This window comes from Homo sapiens, chromosome 7 (genome assembly GCF_000001405.40).
Source record: "Homo sapiens chromosome 7, GRCh38.p14 Primary Assembly".
NCBI classification, from domain to species: Eukaryota; Metazoa; Chordata; class Mammalia; order Primates; family Hominidae; genus Homo; species Homo sapiens.
In genome coordinates this window covers 132,110,683-132,121,791 of record NC_000007.14, presented here as the reverse complement: position 1 = coordinate 132,121,791, position 11,109 = coordinate 132,110,683, and the positions used below count along the sequence as shown (strand labels likewise).

At 45.9% G+C, this 11,109-nt stretch overlaps 1 annotated feature.

Moving 5' to 3' along the window:
• Positions 7,297 to 7,797: an enhancer, noted in NCBI's record as "H3K4me1 hESC enhancer chr7:131798754-131799254 (GRCh37/hg19 assembly coordinates)". NCBI's record gives its function as "activates a minimal SCP1, AML or CMV promoter by ChIP-STARR-seq in primed H9 embryonic stem cells {active_cell/tissue: H9 hESC(primed)}" and the evidence as "EXISTENCE:reporter gene assay evidence [ECO:0000049][PMID:30033119]".

Genomic DNA, 11,109 nt, shown 5'->3' with positions numbered 1-11,109 from the left:
CTCTGAAGGTTCACATTGAGATTGAACAACGAAGTTTCCACCAGGGCCTCAGATTCCTTTACCTATATGAGCTCAAACTTTGTCAGAACCAACCACCATGACCTTGAGCAGGCCACTTCTCTTGTATTTTGTTTACCTAGCCACAAAATTAAGATTGTCCTAATTGTACTACAAAGCCCAGAAGATTGGGGCAGGCCAATTTAGACAACTGAAGTGAAAAAGACCCCATGTGCTATGAAGGCTCATACGTGCATATAGTATTATTATTAGTCATAAAAATGATACTCTACAGGCCGAGCACAGTGGCTCATGCCTGTAATCCCAGCACTTTGGGAGGCTAAGATGGGCAGATCACTTGAGGTGAGGAGTTTGAGACCAGCCTGGCCAACATGGTGAAACCCCGTCTCTACTAAAAATACAAAAATTAGCCGGGCGTGGTGGCAGACGCCTGTAATTCCAGCTACTCAGGCAGGAGGCTGAGGCAACAGAATCGCTTGAACCCAGGAGGCGGAGGTTGCAGTGAACCAAGATCGCCCCACTGCACTCCAGCCTGGGCGACAGAGCAAGACTCCATCTCAAAAACAAAACAAAACAAAAAAGATGCTGTACAAATAAGAGTGGGCCCATCCTGGAGCCTTAATAACAAATTTAGAATAATGCCTCATTTACCCATTGCAAAATAAGTAAATATCTAACACCTTATGAAATCGTATACTTTTTGTGGTCATTAGACTATGAGATCTTTGATTATTTTTTTTTTCCTGAGACAGAGTCCTGCTTTATTGCCCAGTTGGAGTGCAGTGGCGTGATCTTGGCTCACTCCAACCTCCACCTCCTGGGTTCAAGCAATTCTCGTACCTCAGCCTCCCAAGTAGCTGGGATTTCAGTTGTGTGCCACCAGGCCCAGCTATTTTTTTGTATTTTTAGTAGAGATGGGGTTTCGCCATGTTGACCAGGCTGGTCTTGAACTCCTGACCTCAAGTGATTAGTCTCCCTTGCCCACTCAAAGTGCTGGGATTATAGGCGTGAGCACCGTGCCCGGCTGACTGTGAGATCCTTAAAGTCAGAGACCACATCTCAGTTGAATTTATTACCCCAGCTTAGCACAGTGACCCACTCAGAGAGAGTGCTCAATAAATCATGAATGGAGGGAGAGAGGGACAGAAAGCAAGACTCGGTGAAAGCAATCAGCTACAAAGTTGGCCACTGGGTTGTCTCCCAACTGTGACTCCATTACCTTCAATATCAGGCCACTCGCCCTCTCCCATCAATGGTTTATCTTTAGAAAACTAATTCCTTGAGTTGCAGCTAATGGCTATCTTTTACAGGTAAAGAGAGATGGTGTTGTAGTGGAAACCTCTCCCTGGGTTAGCAGAGCTGCTCCTAGCTGAGCAGAGTAAATGGAGGCAGATGCAGGTCACTTCTGCACCATCACTTTCTCTAAACCTGCCTCGCTTTTCTCTTAGCAGAACTCCTACCGTGGACGCTGAGCCAGAGCCTGCAGGGCTGCTGAGGGTATGCACTAGAGCCAAGGCTCATGAATGATGTTGGACCCAGGCAGAGGAGGTTAGTCCCAGGCATAGGAATATCTGGTAGGTCATATCACAGTTCAACAATATCTATTTCCCCTTCCTGAAGGAGCAGTACAGTTCCCCACCCCAATAAAGTTCAGCTGGCCCAGCAACTTGGTTTGGGCCGATGGAATATGAGTGCTAGTGGTGTAGTCACTTGTAATGCTCCAGAGAGCAGCAGCCTGAATCACAGAGTGAGATCAATGACAGCACAGAGCAGAGCCACCAGATGACACCATGGTTGTGTAGTATGAGTAAAAAATAAAACTTTGCTGCTTTAAGTCACTAAGGTATGAGGCTGTTTGTTACTGCTGCATAGCCAAGACTATCCTGACTGCTATAAGGTACAAGGGATTTAACCTAACAGGTGGCCCCTCAGTTCATAATTAATGTATGAAATATCATATTTCACCTACAAAGAAGTATTCTTTTGGCCGAAAGCCTTCTTTAAAAAATACACTATTGACTATTTACACTCAATATGAATCATTTTGTGGAAGGTCCTAATTTTCCTGAACTAGCTTTGGGACAGATTAGGGAAGAAAGCAAAGACTAAAAAGAAGCAGAGGTGGAAAAAAGGCAGTGCAAATCTACAGAGTTAGGACAGAAGGAAGTATAAGGAGGGGAAGTATCAGAGGAGAGAAATGGGGAGGATTTAAAGGGTGAGAGTAAGGACCTGCCTTTTGCTAACTCTGTGCCAGGCATGTGCTGCCTGGTTCCCACACCACCTGCTGTGGTGAAGAGTTTTCAGGCCCAAGTGAAAGTCATGGCATTCACATCCCACAGTGCCCTGGGAGAAACTATTTATTATCTAGGAATGAATGCAACCAAGGTTGTTTAAAAATATAACCTGTAGTTTTCTATATGCCTTGGTTTTGATCAATGATCAATTTACCAGGAAAGCAGAGAACTCATCCTCAGGGGATACACACCATATTCTCAGCACTGGTCCTTGATCAAGATAGCAGCTCCCTTCGAAGCCATAAACGACAGCTTCTTGTGATGCCTAGAAGGATGCTGGCTGATTCTAATGAAGGCTTGATGATCCCTCTAAGATGCAGGAGAGGAAGAAGTCATGCTCCTCATGCACCTACACGCAGAAGAGAGGTCCTTCTTATCCCTACTCCACATCCAAGTCCAGACCAGACCAGCCACTATATCACTCACCTTCCAAGTTCCTGCTCATTACCTACTTAAGCCTCTCCAAACTCCAGCAATTCAGAGGCAGGGCTTGGGGGAGAAAGAAACAGAGGCCCTGGGAGAGGTGGCTGGCAGGTCAGTAGGGATGTGTGCTCCCCCTGATTCATTAGGATCACATCCCTCACCATAGGAAACATCCTGTTTCCTTAACAAAAAAGGGCATTGGCTGTGCTGAACTGCCCCAACTCCACAGTACCCTGCCAATCCTTCCTTCTGCTTTGGTTTGCCTGCTGTTTTGTGAATTTCTGTGGGCAAGGCAGGGTGGAGATGCCACTGACTCAGAGCTGTGAGAGCAGCCCCCCTGGGCAGACAGCTAGGACTTCTACCCCTAGGACCCGTTCTCCATCCTCCTTTTGTATCTGGAACATACTCTCTACACAGTGTGATGGTGAAGACCACGGCCTGGTTCAAACTCTGCCCTTCTCTGGCCAGCTTTTACCTGGAGTTCCCAACTGTCTCTAAATCGTGGCTTCCTCACCTGTAAAGATGAGAATAATAATGCAGGGCTGCTGAGGGTATCCTCATACAGCTCTCGTGAGGATCAAGTGAGGCAAGGATTACAAAGCACTTAGAGCAGGTCCTGCCATCCTGTAAGTTTGTGACAGATGGTAGCTTTTACTATTGGGTAGCAGGCTTCTGAAAACTCTACATATGATCTCTCTAACCCTTGCTGATGGGACAACTCCAAGCACATAGTAGTTGCCCTATAAATGTTTTTTAAATGAACGGGTAAAGTAGGTACAAGAATTTCTCAACTGCCCAAGTCTTGAAATACACATGTAGATAGAACACAGCTTTCCAAAGAGTACAAAAATAGATAACTAAAATTTATAAGGGCCTGAGTTCCCCCTAAAAGCAGAAGTGAGACAAGGGGTTGTGAGCAGGGGGCTTATTTTGGGAAGCAGTCCTGAGGAACAGGAGTGGAAGGTAGGGAAGTGAGGACAAGCCAGTTCAAGGGGATATTTTCAAGCTGGCCCTCGCTGTGGGGGACCAGGACTCTGACCCCTCTTGGACCCTCTAGTAATGTAGAAGCCACCTCAGAAACCATCCACTGGCTCCCACTCCCCACTGCAGAAAGTTTGCCGTGGGCTGTTTATTCCTCACACTTCTAAGTTTGCAAGTGAGTTGGAAAAGCTGAGTGGTTTCCCCCAGGCACCCCCTGCCCTCCATGTAGAAGCAGAGGAGCCCCGGGGGAAGAGGCAAGGGGAGCGCAGTGTCCCTGAAGCAGACACTATCAGGCTCCACGTGCATGCCACCTGGTTGCTGTGGCAACAGCTGGGGTGGAAAGGTGGGTCAAGAGGGTATGCGGCCGAGTGCAAGGAAGTCTACAATACAATATGTGATCCTTTAAAACCCTTCATTCTAGATCAGTAAGATTAAAGTCATTTCAAAAACTATTGTTTTGGGTTTTTTTTTTTTTTTTTTGTTAGGAGTCCCCAGTTCTTTTCTTCTACCTCCTCATTTTTCCACTATTTTCATCACCGGCTACAGTGATTGCCTTTTCTCCTCCTTTCCATTATTCACAACAAAGCCAAGTTTTTGTTCCACCTTGAAAGTTATGACATATGGGAGATAAGTAAAGGATGTCGAGGTGACCCTGAGTCATGGATGCTGGTGAGGGCTGGACAAGCCCATTGGTTCTGTGACTCATCAAATTCACACATGACTTCTGGGGTGGGATGTGATACTATTTAACCTTTCCCAGCACTGTCTGCCTTTCTCGGCTTTGCCATCTAATTAGCACCTTATCTTGGGTGGCCTTAGCCTTTCATTGCCAGTAATGCACCACTTAGCACTTTATTTTAATAGAATCAATGCTGATATGTATGTAATAATTTTATCCCCTAATAATTTCACCTTTTTATGTCCTGTCTCCTTAACTCAGAAATAGACCAGGTCTTCTATTTCTTTGATTCTGAACTCAATGCTGGATACACAGTAATTAGATAAATGCTCAAGTTTTACATGAACTGTGTATGTCTTTATTACTCATTCAAACATGTCAGCCCATTAACAAAACTCCTGCAGGGTTGAAATAATTATGAAATCCAGTTATTTATATTTTTACCAACTTTCAGTCATGTATAAGGCATAGATTTCACTCCCCCTGCCCCACTAATTTTATTGCTTTGAAGGTATATTTGCCAAGGTACAAGGATGGAACAAAGTTTATTTAAATATAAGCATTTGATGTCTAGGCCTCCATTCATACCCTCACCCTCTGCAGCTCTGCAAATGTTAGGGCTGGTCTGACTGTGATTCAAGGTCTCCATGCACAACATGAGGAAATATCTGTACTTAATGAGCTTTTTCTTGACTTAGAATCTCCTTCTCTGTCTCTTGGCAGGATGACACCTAGCCCATCTAGGAAGAGGGTTAACATTTCCAGTTTTTCAGGGTCATCAGTTCTTTCTACAATATTCAGTGCATAGGAATTCATGCAGTGAATCATGATTTACTTTATGGAAAAACATCTCCTGAACTAGATAAGATCAACAGCCTCGGGCCATCAGTATTTGAACCTTAGGAGAGCTTTCAGAGACCCACCCTCCCTTGCAAAAGTGCAGCTTACTCATTTATCTCTGCAGCCCCCTCATCACCTAGGTTCCAAATATATAAATGGATAGGCCTGCCCAACCAAACGTCATCGACCATTGTTTTCTTTATAGCACTGGACCACAGGACCAGGTATGTAAAGAAGATCATGTAATAAAATCAAGCTGATACTGAAGGCAAGTTTTCCTAAGTGATCTTAGTCTGCTGTAGTCTATCAATTAAAAAAAAATTAGGTCCCTTAGAAAATGGGATGTTAAGATACTTGGAAGAGATAAAGAAGACAATACAAGTGCTGAGTGGGATTGTAAACCCTGATTTCCAATAACCCATGCCCAAGAGTCATCACCTCCCAGGACATGAAGGGATTTCCTCAGAGAAATGATGTCTGTGTCACTCACATACATTACTGGCATTCAATTCTCAGGATCCAGTTCTAGTCTATAGTTACCATTATTATACCCATTTTATAGATAAATATACTGAGGCTTAAAACAGTAATTGGACAAATGGAAAGTGATAGAGATCAAAGAGCGGGGATGTAAGCCCAGGTTTCTCTGATTCCAAAACCTACACACTTAATGACTGTGCTGAACTACGACAAACACTGAACAAGTCTCTCTCTCTGTCTCTATTTCTCTCTCTCTCTCTTACTGATGGATAGATTATCATAATAGTGTTACTGGAAAGGGGTCCCAATCCACACCCCAAGATAGGGTTCTTGGATCTTGTGCAAGAAAGCATTCAGGGCAAATCCCTATAGTGAAAGCAAGTTTATTAGGAAAGTAAAAGAATAAAGAATGGCTACTCCAAAGACAGAGCAGCCCTGAGGGCTGCTGTTTGCCGATTTTTATGGTTATTTCTTGATGATATGCTAAACAAGGAGTGGATTATTGATGCCTCCCCCTTTCAGACCATATAGGGTAACTTCCTGACGTTGCCATGGCATTTGTAAACTGTCATGGTGCTGATGGGAGTGTAGCAGTGAGGGCGACCAGAGGTCACCCTCGTGGCCACCTTGGTTTTGGTGGGTTTTAGCCGGCTTCTTTACTGCAATCTGTTTTATCGGCAAGGTCTTTATGACCTGTATTTTGTGCTGACCTCCTATCTCATCCTGTGACTTAGAATGCCTTAACTGTCTGGGAATGCAGCCTGGTAAGTCTCAGCCTCATTTTACCCAGCCCCTGTTCAAGATGGAGTTGCTCTGGTTCAAACACCTCTGACAATAGCAAAGGACATTGTAGAGAAAGTGACTAGCGTAGGCATTGGGTTGCAACTGCAAGCTACAGCAGGGAGAGAAGAATAGAAATTGATGGGATTCAGCCAGCAGATTTAGGGACTGCCATGCGCAGGATGGGGCACCAGGCAGCCATGCTTGTGGGATGCACTGTAGATACAGAGGGATCTGGATTTAAATCTCCAGTACGGTACTTAGCATGTGTGTGTGACTGGAGAAGTTTATTTTGATCGCTTTGCCTCACTCCCCTATCTGTGAAATGGAAATAATTTGTGAGCAAGTTGTGGGGATTCAGCATGATGAAGTGCACCATGCCCGACTCACAGTCAGCGCTCCTCACAAAAGGCAGCTCTTTTAAACAGCGCCTCATTGACTTGCCATTAGAAACCCACTTCCTGTGGCCTTTTCTTCATCCTGGACATGCCAGAGGCCACAGCTAGGGCTAGCTGGGAGGTGGGCATATCGGTAGCAAACCTCTCCTCTGGCCACGGGCGTATCTTCCCCACCTGCAGGAAGACCCCAGCTCCTTCAGCGAATGGTTTGCCCTCAGGCTGTGAGCTCTTCTGAGGCCTCGAGAGTATCTGTCAGCTCCCTGAGGAGAGGCTGGTGGTCACCATTTTGTAAAGCGGCAAACTAGAGACACGGCCCTGATAAGGAAGCAGTAGCCAGGTGTCTTCCTGCTACCCCACCCCACCCAGGAGGGGTCCAGTGTGTCCTTGCTGTGCAGTTCCACAGCACCCCGTGGAATGTGACGCTCACACAAGCCTTCTGTCTGGTGTTTGTGTCCAGCAGCTCAGCTCACCTCTTCAGCCTCAGCTCCTTGTCTCTCTGACAAGCCTCACAGAATCCCTAACACTGAGGCCTGGCTGCCTGTACCCAGCTCAAAAACATCGCCTCGGACTCCCTCTTCATGCTCCCCGGAGGCCTCTGCCAGGTCAGCCTCTCATTGCTGGCGCCCAGATTGGCCTTCCCTGGGGGCCCTGCATGACAGCTGAGGCCAGGCTGGAGGAAGGAGCAGGCCCCAGTGAGTTATGAGGCTGTAATTCCATCAAGGGCTTCTGGAGAGATCGTAAACTCATGTCCCAAGTCTCCCCGGTCCCCCGACCCCTTTTCTCCTCAGAGTGATTTATGAGCCCATAATTCTGAGGTGGGACTGCTTCTTATTTCACATAATCCAAATATTTTCATAAAGCCGCATCGTTCTTTCTCCTGGTCTCTGGTTTCCTTCTTCAGAGCTAAAGAGCTGCAACAGCGTCGTCTAGTGGCTGAACCCCAGGGTGGCCCCCCTGGTGGAATCACCCATCACACCACTTTTGAGATGGCTGTGGAAACCCAAGTCATGCCTGAAACCAAGTGGATATGGAGGGCCTCTCTGGGGGTTCTGGGACATGCAGATATGAGCCAAGAGGGATTAACGCAGCTTTGATTTCTGCGTCATTAGTTGACAAGCATTTGCCGGGCTCCACTTAAGTGGCGCTCTCTGCAGATCCTGTGAGCTGTATTGCCAAGCCCAGGTTCCTTCTCGTGGCCATATTTCTGCCCTTCACATGCCAAAGACCATGTGTGACTGTGGTCACCCTCAACAAGGCCCCGCCTGGCCCAACACACCACCCTGAGGCCAATGGAACATAACGTTTATTACCTGACATTATAGCTTCCGTCTACGCTTTTAATGCCAGTCTCTCGCATTGGAATATAATAAGCTCCATAATAAGCTCCACAATTGTGGGGATGTTGCCTGGTTGGGCTCTGCTGTATTATCTTGCCCCAAGCAGAAGTATTTGTTGAATAAAGCATGAAGGAGAGAGCCAATGAGTGATCACGTGAGGCAGCTGGGTGGTCCACAGCATTGGCCTCAATAGATGAAAGAGACACACAGGCTTGCTGGGTGCATCCAAGCCCCAAGCTTGAGGATCAATGGTGGTAGGGCTGGTATAGACACTTTCCTGCCATTTTCCCCTTTTCTCTGGCTTTGCTTTGGGTGGAGGCCCATAGTCAGGGGTTTCATGGAAGGAGAAAGAAGTGAAAATTCTTGGAGCTCGCACTGGAATGGGGCCAGAGAGTGGGACCTCTGAATGGTAATCATCCTACCAACTGTGCCGAAGGCCCCTTCTCAGCCTGCTAGGTGCACTTCATGGGAGGCTACTATGGTGACGCACCATTACTGCAGCCTGAGGACCTCTGCCCTGGGATAGAGACAATGACTAGGACTGCAGCTAAGTGAGTAGAGGCCACCCTGTAGCCCAGACCCTCTCTGGGACCTGTCTCTTCCTCCCCTCCCTCCCTGCTTCCTGACTTCTGCCTGTGCACGGATTTTCCCTTTAAGATCTGCTCACGTTCTCCTCAGTGGTGGCTGGTAACCATGGAAACTACAATTAGGCTGCTTTGCTCCAAGTCTCTAAAAATTACCAAGTGCAGGCAGCAGCAGCCCCTGACTTATGACAGGCCCCACCCGAGCTCTCTTGCAGGCTCTTTTAGGACACACCCTTTGCTGGGCCAAAGACAATGCTCCAGGAACTCCTGTGAAGAAGGATCAGTTTCTCTTCGTAGACATTTCCAATTCATCACAGTTCAATGTTTTTGTAAAATGCAATGAAAACAAATTAGAAATGAAATGGAAAAAAGATATACAACATTCAAGCCCCGTTTTATTGTGATAAATTTAATAGACGTAAGATTACTCATTAAAACTGCCACAAAAGTTTTCAAAATTGCTCTCCATTTTTGTACCAAATTATCATAGATCAGCACCAGTGTGTAGACAGGCTCCAGGCCCTGGACCATCCTTTGAATAGCTCTAGTCTGGAGTCACATCCAGGACCAAGCCTTCTGACATTGTCCAGCTGGGGCCTGTACCCAAGGATGCCTCAAGGTGGAAGGCGAGGCTTCTCTAGGGGCCTCTGACAAGCTACAGAAATGTCTGCACTTGACTTGAGCAAATGTGTATGAGGGAAGCAGCTGCAGAGGCTTGGTCACGCCTGGAAGTCCTCCCCAGCAGCCAGGAATCTGCAGAGCATCTGGTGGCATAGGACAGAGGTCACTCAGAGGGGACCTCAGTGAGCTTGCACTGTGCCACAATTCACCAAGCAACCCCTCCACTTTCTTCATCCCTTCTACCAAAACAAAGATTACGGTTTGTATGAACTGGATGGACATTCATCTTTTTTTTTTTAACCTGATCTCTGAGTTTTCTTCCCATTTTGTAAAATTGAAGTACACTTTTTTTGTACATTAAAGTGCATAAATGTTAAGAATACAGGCCAGGGTAGGGTGATTCACACCTATAATCCTAGTGCTTTGGGAGCCCCGGCAGGAGGATCACTTGAGGCTAGGAGTTCGAGACAAGCCTGAGCAATATAATGAGACCTTATCTCAAAAAAAAAAAAAAAAAATTAAATTAGCCAGTTGTAGTGGCATATGCCTGCAGTCCTAGGTACTTGGGAGGCTAAGGTAGGAGGATCACTTGACTCCAGGAGTTCAAGGTTACAGTGAGCTGTGATTGCACCACTGCACTCCAGCCTAGGGGACAAAATGAGACCCTATTTCAAAAAAAGAAAGAAGAAAGAAAGAAAGAGAGAGAGAGAGAGAAAGATAGCTCTATGAATTTTTACACATTGATACCACGATCAAAATATAGAAAACTGGCCAGGCCTGTAACCCTAGCACTCTGGGAGGCCAAGGTGGGCAGATCACTTGAGCTCAGAAGTTCAAGACCAGCCTGGGCAACATGGTGAAACCCTGTCTCTACCAAAAATACAAAAAATTAGCTGGGTTTCATGGTGTGTACCCATAGTCCCAGCTACATGGGAGGCTGAAATGAAAGAATCGCTTGAGCCTGGGAGGCAGAGGTTGCAGTGAGCAGAGCCTGGGGAACAGAGTGAGAACCCCTCTCAAAAAGAATAAATAGAAAACCTCCATCACCTCCCCCAAAAAATTCCCTTATGCCTCTTCCTAGTAAATACTGATTCTCCCACCCCACCCCACAAGCTAACTACTATTCTGATTTCTATCACCATAAATTAGTTTTATACAGACTTTGCATAAATAGGATCAAATAGTGTGCACTCTAGTTTTTTACGCCTTTCATTCAATATAATGTCTGTGAGATTGACCCGTGTTGTAGGCTGGTATCACTGGGGTCTTTCTTAATTCGTGTTATATTCTATTGCATCTGTGAACACTTCTGTATAGCATTTTTAGTGCACACAGATTTCATTTCCTTGAGGCAAATATCCAACAGGGGAATTGCTGGATCATAGAGTAGGCATATGTTTAGGTTTTTAAGCAGACACTGACAAGTAGTTTTCCAAAGTGATTGAACAAATTGACACTTCCATCAGCAATGTGCTGCTTGGAATTCCGGTTGCTCCCCATCTCTGCCACACTTGACTTTATCAGTCCTTTTCACATTAGCCATTCTAGTGGATGGATAATGATATCTCATCATGGTTTTAATTTACATTTCTCTGATAAATAATGATGTAAAGGACCTTTTCACGTGATTATTGGCCACCTGGGTATTCTCTTTCAAAAAGTTTAACTCTTTCA